The sequence below is a fragment of the Homo sapiens genome, chromosome 1 (genome assembly GCF_000001405.40).
Source record: "Homo sapiens chromosome 1, GRCh38.p14 Primary Assembly".
NCBI classification, from domain to species: domain Eukaryota; kingdom Metazoa; phylum Chordata; class Mammalia; order Primates; family Hominidae; genus Homo; species Homo sapiens.
In genome coordinates, this window is record NC_000001.11 from 152,058,733 (window position 1) to 152,076,837 (window position 18,105).

An 18,105-nucleotide genomic window follows, 5' to 3' on the forward strand; every position below is an offset into this window, starting at 1 on the left:
TTTTTTGTAGCATCTGGATATCACTTTAGAACTCATCCTCAGAGGATCTAGTGTGCTTGTTAGATTTCCAAATATGATAGACATCATCCTGCTGGTCGTGAGCATAATCTTCCTATGTTCCTTCCTCATCCTGGTATACATAGTCTTCTTCTGGATCCCAAATTAGGTAGCAGCAATAACTTGCCCATTCTTGTGATTCTTACACATCTCCAAACCTGTATAATTGAGCCTATTTTCTGTATTTGTTGTTTCAGATGGATCATGAAGACAATAGCATAACCAGTTACCTTTCTTCTTGGGAAAAAAGTATACCTCACAAGTTATTGGCCCAATTTTTCTGGTGGATGCTAATTCCTAAGGATCTAAATCTCTAAGCTCAGCTTCCTCCTGCTTGGGGAAATACTTTTGATCTTTTTCTCTCCACAGCTGCTCTTTTGTTTCATGGTCAAATTCTCTCACAGATATGCCTTTTCCAGAGTTTCTCTCATTTTTGCCCCTAAGATGACCCTCATCCTTTTTAGAAGGTGGTTTTTGCTCTCTAACCTCTTGTCTTTCATCATACCTTGGTTCTGGTCTCATGTCTGTTACCTGGTGTCTTCCATAATTCCTAGAGTCTGGCCTCAGATCTCTCTTGGTTTCTTTCATCATGCCTGGGTTCTGGTCTCATGTCTCTCACTTGATATCTCCTATCATTCCTGGACTCGAGGCTCAGATCTCCCACTTGTCTTCTCTCAACATCTCTTAGTGCAAAGATCTGGTCTCTATGTTGGAATCCTTCATATTCTCTTGTAGTTGTTCTCTGCTCTCTAATTTGGTGTCCTCCATCATTCCTGAGTCCAGGGCTCAGGTCTCTCACTTGTTTTCTCCCATCATTCCTTTGGTGCTGGGATTTGAGATCTCACTTGGCACCCCTGATTTTCTGTTGGAGCTGGTATTTGATTTTGAATGTGGTGTTCCCCGTCATTATCGAGTTCTAGGCTCAGGTCTGTCATATGGCATCTCCTATCAATCTCAGGTTCAGGACTCAGGTCTCTCACTTGGCTTCTTCTATCATCCCTTGGTGTGGAGATCTAGTCTCTATGTTGGAATTTTTCATTTTACCTTGGAGCTGGTCTCTGTTCTCTAACCCGACTTCTCCCATCATACCTGGGATTTGGTTTCTGCTCTTTAATTTGGTGTTCCGCATAATTGCTGGGATCAGGATTCGGGTCTCTCACTTGGCTTCTCTCATCACCCCTTGGTGTGAGCTTCTGGACCCTATGTTGGGATCTCTCATATTGTCTTGCAGCTGGTCTCTGCTCCCTAACAGGACTTTTGTCATCACTTCTGGGTTCTGGTCTCATGTCTCTCAGTTGGTATCTCACATCGTTCCTGGTATTAGGACTTAGGTCTCTCATTTGGCATCTCTCCCTTTCCCTTGTTGAGGGGATCTGGTCTGTATGCTGGAATCCTCGATATTCTCCTTCAGCTGGTCTCTGTCCCCTAACTTGGTGTCTGTTTCCATCATTCCTGGGCTCAGGTCTCTCATCTGACTTATCCATCATTCCTTGGTGCTGGGGTTCTCTCTCTCACTTGGTGTCTCTGATTTTGTGTTAGACCTTGTTTCTGTTGAACCTAGCATTTCCCATCATTATTGAGTTCTTGGCCCAGGTCTCTCACATGACATCTCCCATGGTTCTCAGGTTCAGGGCTTAGGTCTCCCTCTTGTCTTCTCTCATCACCCTTTTGTGTGGAGATCTTGTCTCTATGGTGGAACCTTTCATATTGCCTTGGAGCTGATCTCTGCTCTCTAACTTGACTTCTCTCATCACATCTTGGATCTGGTCTCTGCTTTCTACCTTGACTCCTCCTATCATACCTGGGTTCTGGTCTCTCCTCCCTAATTTGATGTTCCCCATTATTTCTGGGCTCAGGGCTCAGGTCTCTCACTTGTCTTCTTTCATCCCTTGATCTGGAGATCTGGTCTCTATGTTGGAATCTTTCATATGGCCTTGGAACTGGTCTCTGCTCTCTAACTTGACTTTTCTCATTATCCCTTGATTCTAGGCTTTCATCAGTCACTTGATGTCTCTCACTTTCAGTTAGAGCTAATCTCTGTTGGCTAAAATAAAATCTCCCTTCATTCCTGGGTTGAGGGCTCAGGTCTCTCACCGGATATTTCTCATCATCTCTAGATGCTTGTTGTTCATGTCTTGCTTGGTGTCTCCCTTTATTCCTGGTCTGTGGGCTCAGGTCTCTCACTTAATGTCTCTCATCATCCCTTGATGTTGAGCTTCCATCTCTTGCTTGGTGCGTCCCTTCATTCCTCGGTTGTGGGCTCAGGTCTCTCGCTGGATATCTCCCATCATCTCTTGATGTTGGGCTTTCATCTCTTGTTGGTGTCTCTCATCTTCTGTTGGAGCTGATCTCCGATCTCTAACTTGGTGTCACCCATCATTCCTGGGTTGCGGGCTCATGTCTCTTACCTCTTACTGGATATCTCCCATTATCTCTTGGTGCTGGGCTTTTATCTCTTACTTGGTGTCTTTCATCTTCTGTTGGAGCTGATCTCTGATCCCCAACTTGGCATCTCCCATCACTTCTGGTCTGTGGGCCCAGGTCTCTCACTGGATATCTCCCATCATCTCTTGATGTTGGGCTTTCATCTCTCACTTTGTGTCTCTTATTTTTTGTTAGAGCTGATCTCTGATCCCTAACTTGGTATCTCCTATCATTCCTGGGTTTTGGGCTCAAGTCTCTCACTGGACATCTCCTGTTATCTCTGGATGCCAGGCTTCCATCTCTCCCTTGGCATCTCACATCATTCATGGTTTGTAGGCTCAGGTCACTCACTGGATAACTCTCATCATCCCTTGATGCTGGGTTTTCATATCTCACTTGGTGTCTCTCACTTTCTGTTGGAGCTGATGTCTGTTTTCTAACTTGGTGTCTCCCATCATTCCCAGGTTGTGGGCTCAGGTCTCTCACTTGATGTCTTCCATCATCCCTTGGCATTGGGGCCCGGTTACTATCTTGGAGTCTGTCATGTTGTCTTGGAACTGATCTCTGCTCCCTAAATTGACATGTCCCATCATTTCTGGGTTCTGGGCTCATATCTCTGACTTGTTGTCTCCCATCATTTCTGGGTTCTGGTGTCTGCTTCCTAACTTGATGTCTCTCATACTTCCTGGGCTGTGGGCTCAGGTCTCTCACTTGGCATTTCTCATTATTCTTTGTCCCTAGGGACTGAATCTTTATCTTGTGTTTCCCATTTTCCTGTAGCATTGGTGTCTGATCACTGACTCCCAGTCTTTCATCTTCTCTTGGAGATAGTCTCTGCTCTCTAATTTGCTGTCTTCCACTATTTTGAGTATATGAGCTCAGTTCTCTCACTAGATGTCTCTCTTCATCCATTGGTGCTGAGGTCTGAGCACTCATCTGTTGTCTCTCACTCTTGTTGACCTGACTGATCTTGTGGTTCTGGCCTGTGGTCTTGTACTGGATGTTTTCCATAATTGCTTGGAGCTGGATCCTGGTTTCTCACTTGTTTGCTGCCAACATCCTGAGATACAAGAATCTTGTCTTCTCTCACTTGATGCCTCCCAGTATCCCTTGGTGTTGGGTTCTGGATTCTTACTTGGTGATGCTCATCAACTCTTGGTTCTAAGATCTGCTCTCTACCAGATTGTCTTAGATAACCTTGGAGTTCTAGCCTCCTGTCTCTCACTTGAACACTTCTGTAATCACTTTGTGTTGACAAATGACCTCTCTCTTGGTATCTTACAGAGTCCTGGGATTCTAGGCTTTGGTCCCTCACTTGTCATTGCCCATCACTATTTGCTTTGGGATTTGGTTTCTCACTTGGTGTCTCTGTACATCCTGGGAATCTTGCCTCTGATCTCTCACTTGAAGACTGCCATCATTCCGTAGTGGTGGGACCTGGTTTTTTACTTGATTTCTTCTCACATCACAGATCTTAGAATTTAGGTCTCTCACTTGGTGTTGCCCCAAATCCTGAGGTTTAGGGCTTATGTCTCTTATTTGAAGTCTGTCAGCATTCTGGGGTTCTACACTCTGGTCTCTCACTTGATGCCTTCTGTCATGCCTTAGTATCGGGACCAAGTCTCTCCTTTGGAGCCTTTCACTATCCTGGGTTTCAGGGCCCAGGTGTTTTGCCTTACATTGTGGAACATCCTGCAACTCTTGCCTATGGTCTCTTACTCGATGACTTCCCTCAGGTCCCAGTGCTGTAATCTTCTCTCTGACTTGGTGTCTTCCAACATTCTGAGATTCTAAGGTCTGATTTCTCATTCCATGAGTCGCATTATCCCTTAGGGTTGGGATCTGGTTTCTTATGTGGTGTCTTTGAACGTCCTGGGATGCTGGGTTCTAGTCTCTCATTTGATGCCTTCTGTCATGCCTTGATGTTGGCATCTGGTCTCTCATTTGGTGTCTCCCAGCATCCTGGTATCTTAGGCTCAGGTTTCTCCCTTGGCCCCCCCATCATTGCTTGGTATTTGGGCTTGGCCTGTCACCTGGTGTCTTCCAATATTTTGTGGTTCAGGGCTCAAGTCTCTCACTTGGTGTCTTCTAATATGCTGTGATTCTTGGTTATGAGCTTTAACTCCATGACTCTCATCATCACTGGGTGTTGGGATTTGGTCTCTCACTTTATGTCTCCAAATATCCTGGGACTCTCGGCTCTGATCTGTCTGCTGACGTTTTTTCTTTGTCTGGTTGCCTGCCTTTGAGTCCTTTTGCTTGTCGTCCTTGCATTTCGGATCTTCTCTCCATTTCCTTTAATTCAGGACAGAGAAGAGCTTTTATGCATGCATGATAGGCTTTTGTCACTGTAAGCACCAGCAAAATGAATTCACTGAAATCAACTGTTTTGTGACCATCTTGATCCAGCTGTTGGAGGATTTTTCTATTGTCTCAGAATTAGTTGTTTTCTATGAGAAAAAAATCAAGAAAGTAGTTTATTAATCATTTGTTATTTTTTTCCTTCTCTTATGTTTTGTTACCAAGAAAATTCCTTAGGGGACATTTAAGAGGTCTGTTTTCTAGTTCTATTTATAGCTATTTCACTGCATATTATTTTCTATGGCAGTATTATGTATATTTTTATATTTTGAGATCACAGTAACTGAAATGTATATTCCTAGTATTAATAAAATATAGCATTATTTTATTACATATTTATTAACCACTAACACACCCTGTTTTCCCCCAACTCTCAATGATGACTCTGCTTTATAATGAAATCCAAGTCACCAAACTGGAACTCTCTCATTTATCCAAGCAAAGGAACAAACTTTCTTTAATGTGTACTCTTTCCTGAGACAGTAGAGGAAGTTTTTCTCTTTCTATCCAAAGCAAATCCATCTGTTTGTGCCCTCGAGTTCATGCCCTTTACTTTATAAAAGACTGAGTTACTTCTGATAATTTCTCTTTCTCTTGACTTTTTGATGCTTTAGTCTCTACTGGATCATTCCAGACAGAGAAACAGTATGCTTTATTAGCTATCATACTTTAAAAAATTTCCTGTGGTCTGGGCACAGTGGTTCATGCCTGTAATCCTAGCACTTTGGGAGGCTGTGGAGGCAGGTGGATCACCTGAGGTCAGGAGTTCAAGACCAGCCTGGCCAACATGGTGAAACCTCATATCTCCTAAAAATTAAAAAATTAGCCAGGCGTGGTGGCAGGTGCCTGTAATCCCAGCTACTCAGCAGGCTGATGCAGGAGAATCTCTTGAACCCGGGAGGCAGAAGTTGCAGTGAACGGAGATCATGCCACTACACTCCAGCCTGGGTGACAGAGCAAGACTCCATCTCAAAAAAAAAAAAAAAAAAAAAGTCCTGTGCACCACATTCTCACATCTCACATCTCTTTCTTTCTACCAGCCAATATCTCTTCTCACCATTTATTGCCAAGCTTCTTGAAAGAGTTATCTGTAAATGTCTCCGCTTCCTTACTCTTCATTCTCCCTTAATATGTGTCATTTTGGCATCCATATTCACCACCACACCAAGTGGTTTCCTTGGTACCAAATACAGTGGACACAATCTTTTCTTTACTGGACCTCAGTTGACACAACTGACTAATCCTTCCTTTCGAAACATTTTCTTATCTTGTATTTCATGACATCCCACTCTCCTGGTTTTCATTCTATATCTTTGGCCCCATGTTTTCATTTTCTATCCTCGTTTCACCTTTTCTACTTAGCCTCTAAATGTTGGAGTTACTCAGGATTTAGTATAGGACACTCTTCCTATCCTATGTTTTTACATTCTCATCTATTCCCGTAGCTTCATACCATCAATTAGCTGATGATAATCAGATTTTTGTCTTTGTGCAAGCCAGATCTCTCTTCTGAGTTCCAGACATGTATGTCTAACTGCTTTGGTGACATCTTTTCTGTGATATATCACAGGTAGAAGAAATTCAACATGTCCAACTCTTGATTTTCTTCTTATGTCTATTTCTCATCAAGTCCACTCCATCTCAGTAAATGGCACCACCGTCCTTCCAGTTTCTCAAGCCAGAAGCATGGTAGCTGTATTTGATTCTTTCCTCTCATTTACCCCTACAGTCCAGTCCATAATAAAGCCTTTTGTTTCTATCTCCAAAATGTACTGTCAATCCATCCACTTCTTTCCTTCTCCATTGTTTGGACTTCCTCAATCCAAGCTACCATCATCTTTTGCCAATACTGTTGCAGTAGCCCTTTTTTTTTTTTTTTTTTTGAGTCAGGGTCTTACTCTGTCACCCAGACTGGAGTGCAGTGGCATGATCATAGCTCACTATAGCCTCAAACTCCTGGGCTCAAGCGATCCTTCTGCCCCAACTTCCCAAGTAGCTGGAATTACAGGTGCAAGCCACCATGCCTGGCTCTGCAGTAGTGTGTAGTGTTCTAAGTGGTTTCTTTGCTTCTTCTTTTGCCCATCCAAACAGCAAGTGAATTTAAAAATTTGCCCATCCAAACACCAAGTGAATTTAAAAATTTGTGATTTAGATTTAATTATTCCTCTGCTCAGAACTCTTTAATGCCTTCCTATTACATATATAAATTACTTAACATGGTTGAAAAAGCTCCGCATGATTTAGTCCCTGCCTGGCTCTCCACTTTCATCTCCTGCCATTCTTTCTGCCCAGCCACACCGAACTTCCAGTTCCTTGAGCACAAAAGCTATTTCCTTACTCAAGGACTTTATTAGTACTCCTTTTTTTTTTTTTCCTGGAACACTTCCTATTCTTCATCTAGTCAACTCCTACACGTCCTTCAAGTCTTGACTTAAATGTAATTTCCTTAAAGAATCTCCTCTGACTTCCTAGCAGAACATAACTCTTATTATTGGTTTTGTTTGTTTTTTTTGTTTTTATTTTTTTCAGATGGAGTCTCGCTCTGTTGCCCAGGCTGCAATGCAGTGACGTGATCTTGCTCACTGCAACCTCCATCTCCCGGGTTCAAGTGATTCTCCTACGTTGGCCTCCAGAGTAACTGGGACTATAGGTACGTGTCACCACTCCTGGCTGGTTTTTTTTTTTTTTTTTTTTGAGATGGAGTCTCGCTCTGTCACCCAGGCTGGAGTGCAGTGGCATGATCTCGGCTCACTGCAAGCTCCGCCTCCTGGGTTCATGCCATTCTCCTGCCTCAGCCTCCCGAGTAGCTGGGACTACAGGCGTCCACCACCATGCCTCGCTAAGATTTTTGTATTTTTAGTAGAGATGGGGTTTCACCATGTTGGCCAGGCTGGTCTCCAAATCCTGACCTCAAGTGATCCACCCGCTTTGGCCTCCCAAAGTGCTAGGATTACAGGCATGAGCCACCATGCCTGGCCATATTGTTTTTAACTATATATTGTTATGTTTACTTGGTTTATTGTCTATAAGTTTTTTGAAGGCAGGAACCATGTCTATTTTGCTGGCTACTCTTCCCAGAGCCTACAAAGTTACCTGGAACATATGTGATGCTAAGTAAATATCAGTTGCATAAATGAATTAATAGATATATGACAGGAATGATCCCAGGCTAGAGAAACAAATAAAAGCACAAAAGGACATGGTCTCTGCCTTCATAGACAAGTAAACAGGTAATTATAACACACTGTAATAAGTGCCACAGGGGTGAAATGGGAGCCTATATGACAAATAGCTAAATAGGGTCACTTTGGCTGCATGTAGGTAATAGATGGTGGATAGTATTGATAGGGAGGGACAAGAATAGAGGGGAAGAGACCAATTAGGAGGTTATTGCAACAATTCAAGTCAGAGATACTGGTGGCCTAGAACACTTCAGGGGCAGTGGTTGAGGAGAGAAGTGGCCAGGTCTGAGAGATATTTATTTAGAAGTCAGAATCAGGAGGGCTTGGTGATGAGATTAGATGTGAGAAGTAAAATAGATGGAGGTGTCAAGGCTAGCACCCAAGTTATTGACTTGGACAAATGAATGGCTAGTGCTGCTGTATTTGTTTGAATATAGGATGTAAAAGGAAGATGAGGTTTGTACAGGTTGAATTTGAAATGCTTGTGCCATATCTGATGGAGATGCTCCATGGGTCTGAAGCTCAGGAAAGTGATCTGGTTGATAAGTTGACTGAAAGTTTCAGCATACAGAGAGTGGTTTCAGCATACAGTGGTTGAGGCAAGCAGAGTCTATGAAATCCCCAGGAGACATGCATAAAGTGAGAAGAGAATTCCAGAGCATATCAACCCTTAAGTGATGAGCAGAGGAAGAGGAACTTGAAATGACTCTGAGAGGAAACAGCTGGAGACATAAGAGGAAACCTAGGAGAGGGTAGTGTCACTGGAGCCAAGAAGACAGTTCCAAGTAACACAGTAAATGTGCAAGGAGTGAGCCCCTGTCCTTCTTACCTCCAAGGCCATTCCAAACTCTTGTCTGAGAAGTGTCTTGAGTTTTGTCTTGTTCAGCCTCTGCCAGTCTCCATCACTCTGCGTGCTTGTGGAAAATGTCGATGATACTGATGCTGCTCCTCAGAAGATAGGGAAGCATCTTGTTTTGCCAACTGGAGTGCACCTGGAATGCACCAAGGAATACCCAACTTGTTTAATTTTTCTGAATCTCTATCATCCCTTCTTTCTTCATCTCTTGGAGGTAAATTACAGTGTAAAGATCCGGCTTATTTGATTGTTTATCTGACTCCTTTAGAGATTTTTCTTTGAGGGCCAGGACCATGTCTTATCTATTTTTTATTTATCCTAGTGCCTCAAATATAGTAGAAGTTCAATAAATGCCTGATGAATGGGTGCAGAAACAAATGAGTGAACCCTGATTTGAGTGATATGTTGGAATAGGTCTGTGGTTCCCAAACTTTGCTGTACTATAGAGTCACCAGGAGGAGCTTTAAAGAAATAAAGACTCCAGGCCCCACCTCCAGAGAGAGTGGCTCAATAGCTCTGGGGTAGAGTCCTAGACTCTGCATTTAAAAAGCTCCCCACTGATTCCTTTGCAGCCGCAAGAACTACTGGCCACCTGACCTCTGAGATCCTTTGCAGCTAGAAAGTTTTGCAATGGCAATAATAATGAATTAACTGACTTAGCAAGCATTTCTTAATTTCCTTTGTGCCAATGCTGTGTTGTGTTCTGGGAATGGGAGATGAATAAGAAATAGCTCCTTTCCTCAAGGAATTCAAAGCTTGGAGGAGGAGATGCAGTTATCTCAGTACAGTCTGATAATTTACACGTAGCGGTGGCTGGGGACTAAGACAGGAGCTCTTCTTAGATGATGCCATTCTTGAAGATTATAGAGCAGTACTTTTAAAACATGGGCAAAGTCCACTAGGGTATTGCTCCTGTCATTCTAATTACAACTTGTCAGTGTTAGAACTTTCATAGAATTTTCCAGAAAGCCAAAGCTATATCTGCGCAGTCTAATTGTCTATGTAAGAATACTAAGGAAGGAAAACATTTACAAAAACAGAAATATAATTTTTTTAAAGAACTTACTTAAATTGCCAAGAGAAATGGAGGACTCAGGCCTGAGAGCTCATGGAATAATGGGCTTGGGGATCCTGGTGCTTATATAGGGGTTTTAATTACACCCTTTAACCTGACATCTTTTGCAGACAACACCCTTGGTGTATAATGGACTGAATCATTGCCAACCAAACCCCATTCCACCTGTTTCTCCTCTAAGCGGGGCTTTTAAACTCAGCATTTCCTTGAATGCCACCCCTATTTTGCATTTGTTCTGTGTCTGCAGCCTGGCTCCTGAGGGACAGCTACTTCTCACATCCCTGTGGGGCCATAGTGCCACCAGGATGTCTTGACAGTGTGCTGAAGTACTCTCAAGAAAAACCTTGTGAACCAATAGTGGCCTCATCTCCTGCAAGTAAAATGAGTTCTTAACCTGAGCCATTTTAGTCATGAACAAGATCTCTTTCACTGTCTGTAATTGCACATTTTATTTGGATATGTTGAGGCTGAAGTGCCCAGTTGCATTAGATGCTTGCTATACTGTGATGTAAAACACAAACATGAGTCTGTCTTAATCCCCACCTGGCCTATTCCTTCGGCGGGTGGTTCTGTGCCTCACGACCCATCTCCCTGTGTCTATCTGCTGTCAAAGCATAAGTTGTTTGCCCTGTGTGAGAGACAACAACTTTTCGTATTTGATGGTGATAGCAGCAAAATGTTGGACACAGGAGAGGATCTGTGGGCTGCAGAGTTGGCGGTCTGTTGAAACGTCACTGCTTGAAAGTTAAAAACCATTTTCAATTTCACCAGCTTATAAATAGTTTCTTTGTTTCTGAAGAAATTATGTATGGGTGGATGTACTCTAACATAATCCTTTATGATACTAAAAATAATTCCCACTCACCTTTTAAAAATTTATCAATTTTTATTTTAAGTTCTGGGGTACATGTGCAGGATGTGCAGGTTTGTTACATAGGTAAACGTGTGCCATGGTGGTTGGCTGCACAGATCAACCCATCACCGAGATATTAAGCCCAGCACCCATTGGCTACTCTTCCTGATGCTCTCCCTCCCACAGCTCCCCCTCCACCCACGTTTACTGCAGACATTCTGTAGGATTCTCTTAGAGATAGCCGGTTCTATCATCTTGTTAATGGCTATGAGGTGAGCAGTACTGGAGAAATCTTTAATAGCCTGTGGATATGACAAAGAGTTTGAAGAGCTATAAAATCAGATAAGTGAATACAGGCAAATGTATTTCCTGAGGAGCATGGTAGCTCTTTTTTTTTTGCTGCTCACCCTGATTTTGAGAATAGCTCCACAAGGAGACACCTTTCCTGTGTGGGGGGATACTGGGGCCATAGGCTACTGCTATTTCCCAAAGCAAAACAAGCCTGGATCCTAAATCTTTTTTACATCTAATTTGGTTTGTTTGTTTTTAAGTCTCCCACATGACTTCTAAAATTGTATGTAATAAAGACACTTTGAGCTTTTCCTGATGTCTGTAATAAAAATATAAAATGTCTTCTCTTCAGTTTCTCTCCTGAACATCCCCATGGCCCTGGGGAGTTTATTTTTCTAGAATGTCTAAAGTGTATTATTTATTCAAAACAAAACAAAACAAAACAAAATAGTTTCTATGAGGAAATATTCTAGATACTTGACTCAATAATATTTCATTATTTTTGAATTTGTGTAGGAAACTCTTTCTTGCCCGTATTCAGACAGCCCAAGGCATGGGTGACTACTGAAGGAGGAGGAGGCAGGTCTTTCTCCCTGTGTGTCTAAAGGGCAGGAGCCTGATGAACTGGCTCCGTGTGGTCATTAGTTGCCGTTAGAGTGATTAATAAGAGTAACAGAGATAATTATAATTCTTGCTTTGAAAAGCCTTGCTTTTGAGAGGAATTATCCTTGTGCAAATGTCTCCCCACCCTCTTGGTAAATCGTCTTTGGCAGCCAGACCTGTAGCTTCTGGGTTTGCCTGTGGTCTCCGGGCTGCTGTTGCTGACACACCTGGTCTGCTGCCCGTCTCTCCTGAGTTTGGCTCATCTGATTCCTGGGCCTTCTTGCTTTTCTCCACTCTTTCTCATTTTCTGATGGTCTCTCTCTGTTCTCTTTTCCGTCTTCCTTTTGTCTTCCCCCCTTTCAACATTTCAATCTCTTTCTGTTTCTCATTGTCCCTTTCTTTGTGTGCCTTTTCTTACCTCTGTCTCTTCTACCTCTCTATTCCCACCCCATTTGTTTCAGACCTGAAGTCTCCATTCAGTTTGATCTTCCCTTTCGTTCTTTTACCTAAAAATTTATTAGTTTCTATCAGGGAAAATAAAAGACAAGTAGATTGAAAATGAATGCATCCAGTTCTTGCTATGAGAAGGGAAAGAGACGCTTACTGTGTGTCCACACCAGGCGATAGCCTGCCATAGTCACACAATGGGGAGGCCTGCTTGGTGCCAGGGCCCATGCTTACCACCCACACTGCCTGTACAAACAGGACATTTTCTGACCCAGAGTCCATGTGCAATGGTGACAGAATGACTTCTGTGGTGACACTCTTCTGATGACGTGGTCTTTGCCCCTCAGCGTCAAGGTTTGTCTTGACACTGCCTGGGAGGAGTTTCCTGGAAAGTGTCCACAGCCATGATTACAGATAAGAGGAGACTGCCAGAGTCATTTGAAGGCATCAAGTTGTCTGTAGGAGAAGCTTGGTGATTGGAGGAGTTGCTGCTGGGGTGGCTATCCTGAGTGCACATTTGGACTTTGCCTGCTCTGTGACCTCAGGCATCTTACCAAATCCCTCTGAGCCTCAGCAGTGGGATCTAGTGGTCACCATTTCTTGGATGTGTCATAAGGATACGGTGTGGCTCAGGGAAGCACTGGATTATAATGTGTTTTAAGCTCATTCTGAAGAAAAGCACCGTGCAAATCCCAGTTATTATGTTTATTATGAGGTTCAGCATGATTAAATGCAAAGAATTTGTTCCATCTGAATGAGGCTTTTAAAAATACACTGGGGCCAGTAATTACAGAAATGTAGGCTCCCCTAAACATGTTCCCAATTAGGAAGGGATGTAACTGAATGAACTGGGGCATGGCGGGGGACTCTCAGATCCTTGACATGTTCTTGGTCAGCTCAGTCAAGCTTTTCTTGATCAGAAAATGGAAAAAAGCAGAAAATTCTCATCCCTTGTGTCTTTCTTAGAAGAAGATAATAAACCCAGTGGCCAAAGAATGTTAACATTTAACTGATTTTCCTTATGTATCAGGACCTTTTTCTGAAACTATGATTGTTAAGGATTTTAAGTAAGACCCAAATCAGTATGGGGTATGATTTTCTTGTTTGTGATTAAAACATATGGAAGTAATTATAGATCTCAAAGTAATTTTTATTTATACACAAATAATACATACGTTCCTGATCCTTGAAAAAATTGAAACATTACTTGATGACATCTAAGACTTCTTTGACTACTACTGTCTCTCCTGATTCCCTTTTACTTTTCTCAGAGGCAATGACCATTATCAGTTTGGTGTTTTTCTTTCTGAGCTTTTCCGTCTTTAGAAGTAGAGAAAACCAAGGTGGACATGGTACGCAAGTCTCCACATGGTTTTCTTCTGTGGTTTAGCCTCATCTCCTGGGCCAGATCATATGCTTCTTGAGACCAGAAACCACATGAACTCCTTGATCTGATTCCACACCACTCCCAGGCCTGGAATAGAATCATGGAGAAGTGAGGGGAATGGTGAGGAACAGTTAACTAAACGCTTGTTTGAGAAAAATTATTGTCCTGCAGTTTACTCAAATAGAGCTAGTAACTCGGCTGGGCAAGTTTCAGATTCTGTGTTTCAAAACCACCTCAACCCACCCAGTGGAAACCAGAATATTCTCATGGCTTTACAAAAACGCCTGAGCTTTAAGCTTGATCTAAAGGGCTCAGCAAAGAAGCATTGCTCCTGAGAGGCTTCCTGTCTGCCTCAAGCTCCCTGTCTCAGCCTCCAGGTAGCCTCATCCTCATGCTCCACTTGCCCAGACATGGACCTCAAAGAAACTCCTGTCCACCTTCTTGGGGGTCCCTTCAGGGGTAGTTGTGTGTCATCAGCCACCCTCAGAGTTGGCTCTGAAACATTCCCCGGTTTCTCCTTCAGTGGTTTGTGGAGGTCAGGAAGAAATGCATGTGATATTTTCTGAAGGTTCTGGACAATCCTAATGTTGTCATGAAGCCTGCTGGCCCCTTTAGGCAACATACACACCCAGACATATATCGATAGTGATGGAAGAATTCCATCTTTTCTTCAAATTCTCTTCTCTATTTTTACTTTCTTTCCTTAAAATGGTGCCTAGGATGGGTCCTTGTGGAAAGGACAGTGCTGGGGTTGCAACTCCTATCTCAGTGCTTTGACAAGCCCTCAAGAAATAAGGTTTATGGCTGTTTTTAGGAGACTCCATCACAGGCCCTCCTCACCATCCAGGCTTCTCTCCTGTTTGCCCATATCTGGAATAGGACTGACTGTACTCCTGGCTCTCTGAGCACCACACCCTCTCGCCTGCCTCCATGCCTTTGTTAATGCTGGTCCTTTCGGCCTGAGAGGAACCAGGCCCATCCCTGCTGGCCAAGCTCCATCTTCTCCTGGGAGCCTTCCCTGGTGACTTGGTTGGGTCCACACTTCGCTGACCTCCTCTTTTCCCACTGTCACCATCATTGCTTATGACATTCCTACCATACTATCCTCCTTGTTGTTCCTTGAATGTGCTAGGCATGCCCATCTCCAGGCCTTAGTACGTGCCGTTTCCTCTGTGAAGTGCTCTTTTCTGAAGTGCATGGTTTCCTTTCTCACCTTCTGCAGGTCTCTGTTCGGGTGTCATCTGACCTTCCTCTCTTAAACAGCAACACTCCCACTTCCCCTGACTCCCTCCCTACCCTCCTACTCTGCTTTTTACTCTCCCTAACATTTATCCCACATGAGTTAGTATACAATTGTTTGTCTATCTGTTTATTTTCTATTTTCCCCATTAGAATGTAGAAACATGAGGGCGGGAACTTGGTCTGCTTTGTTCACCGCTTTATTCCCAACACCTAGAAATTGCTTACCAGGTGGTAGTCATGTAGTAAATATTTGTTGAAAAACAAATCAACAACTCTAACTACCATATTTTGCCCCCCTGAAAAAAAAGTTTCTACACTGATTATGGGTGCCATGCCCAGCCAGGCCTGCACTGAGGCATTTGGCAGGAGTTGGATGATGAAGCTTTATACATGCCCTGAGTTGTGTGCTCTCCAGTTGTTTCATGAGCAGGTCTTGTCTTAATTATATTGTGAGCTACTTGGGGGTAGAAATCAAATTTTGTTCTTCTTCTTAACTACTTAACACTTGAAATGCGTCTGGGTTCCATTAGTGATTATTTGTTTATTGTTCCAAAAAAGAACTAAAGGTTGCCAATGGGGGAGTCACAGTGTGTGGTCATTAACTGCTTATTGACTGATTGATTAGTGATGGCAAATCCTGATGAGGTAGATTGACTCTAAGGACAGAGTGGATGTGGCTGTTGGAAGATGCATTTGGGTCCTTATGTAAAATTCTGGGTTCTCCTTGCAGGGTGTGATATCTCTGACTGGTGTCTGAATGTCCGTGGCTCTTTCTTCCACCTTCCTAACCTAGATTCTGACAAATATATTCCTGGCATTAAGAGTGGTTGTAAAACTAGAAACATATATCACTGTATATAAACCAAAGTATGTCTTTATCCACTACTTATAGTCTTTCAGAGAGACTTAATTTTCCCTTTTTAGTGTTATTCATTTACAGCCTCTTCATATAGATTTGAAGCAGCTTATCATATACAGTAAAGTGGTTAAATAAAAAAGGTAGAAAATAAGAACTAGGAAAAAGGAAAATTCAAATTTGTCAACCATGAGGGTCAACACAATTGCTGTTATTACTCTTCATTCTTGGCTCAGGGATTTCTGACAGCAATTCCCAAAGGAAAACACCATCAGTTTTATGGCCTTCACAATCAGAAAGTAAGATAACTATGTACGCTTTTTGTGGCAAAAGAGAGCATTTCTCAGGACTGAATTCTAAAAAGAATATCTCATGGGGACTTTATAAAGGTGAGTACTGCATGATAAAATGGATAAAGTTCTCAACAGCATTTTGACAGCCAAAGAAGTGGTAAGTTTCACATATGTATTTCTTATAGTTTTGGCAAAAATTGAGCACATGAATGAGGAGGTTTTATTCAGTGGGCATAAAAAAATTAAGGATCTGACTTCAATATGTAACTCGGTGAAAGCTATTATGAATTGTCTATTTTGTTAATCACCATATACCCTGTATACATAGTTTAATAGGTGGTCAATTGTTAAGTTAATAGATGAATAAAGTGTCTCTCATATTTGGTACTATTCCAGCTTCAATGTTAAATAGTAAACAGATACATATTAAGCATCTACTAATTCCAGGTGGTTTGCTGGGCACTTTCATATGTATTGTTCCACTTATTCTCTTTAAACACATTTTCTTATTGAAGAATATTCAGATCATAAGTGTACAGCAATGAATTATTACAAAGTAAACACTTCCATGTAACCACTGCCCAAATCAAGAAATAGAACATTAATCAGGACTCTGAAAGTCCCCATGTTCTTCCCCTTCCCTCCTCCCTAGTGGTACCATTATCCTGACTTCTAATGCCATAGATTAGGGTTTTCTTTTGGTTGTTGGTTTTGAACTTTATGTAAATGCAGCCACTCAGTATGAAGGCTTTTGTGTCTGGCTTAATTTTGTCAACATTATGCTTGTGAAGTTCTTCTATGTTGTGGCATACGGCTTTAATTCTTTCAGTCTCATTGCTGTATAATAGTGCATTGTATGAATATAGCACAATTTGTTGTTGTCCATTTTCAGTTAATAGATCTTTGGATTGTCTTCTCCTTTGGGGTGTAACAAACCGTGCTGCAATGAATACTTTTCAACATGTCTTTTGGTGCATTTCTGTTGGGTTATCTGCCTGGGCTGGAGTTACTTAGTTATGGAGTTTGCATATGTTTAGCTTTAGAGATATTGCCCTACAGTTCTCCTAAATGATTATTGTATCAATTTATTTCTCTACTACTAGTGTGAGAGTTCTAATTGCTCTACATCTTTGCACACACTTGACATTATTGCTTGTAAATTTCAGACATTTGATAGGTATGAGTGGTTCTCAACATGATTTAATTTGCAATTATCTGATATCTGATGAGGTTGAGCCAGTATCTTTTTATTGGCTTTAAAAATATCTCATTTTGTGTCTTTTCCTTTTTTTTTTTTAAGAAAAGAGATTGCCTTTTACTCATTGACTTATAGGCATACTTTGTATCTTCTGCATACTAGCTCTTTCTTTTTAATTCTTCACAATAACTGTGAGTTATAATAACATTTTATACAGGCAGATACTGAGGTCACAGAAGTTAAGTAATTTACTCAAGGACACTTGGGGTATTAGGGTATAAGAATTATCCCTTCTCTTCAGTGGCTTGTAATCTACTTGTTTGGGGAAATACTGCTGAGAACAATTAGTGAGTAATATTAGGTAATAAATATTAAAGTATTAATCTGGATGGTGCAGGCTATGAATGATATAACAGTTAAAAGATCAGTGTGAGCTTTCTAGTGGAGGTCAGATTTAGTCTAGGACTTGAAGGATAGGTATAACTGAGGAAGTAGAGAGGAAATTAAAAAAACATTTCAGCGAGGGTGACCACAAGAGCAGAGGCATGGAGCTGGAAGTAATACTACTACTAACAAGTTGCCTTTGAATAGCTCTTTGCAGAACTTTTTGTCTTAAGACCACCTCTCTTATGCAGGGACATGAGTGCAGGGACCATGACTGTTCCATTCACTCAGGCATGTCCAGTGTACACCATGGTGCCTGGCACATGACCAATGCTTAACAAATATGTTCAAATAAAATGAATGAATGAGTGAATTCAATCCCAACAATGTACCTGTAAACCTAATAGGATAGAATTTAAATGATTAAGGTGAGGGTTGAAAGTTAAAAGACAATTAGATGACCAATCTATGGCTTCTGAAAGATTTCTACAGAAACTAGTGGTAAATTGTAATTAGAGAGATAGATTATAGAGAGTCTGATCAGTTTAAACTTGATGTAGCATGTAGGAAAGCATAAAGTGTCACTGAGAGGTCTT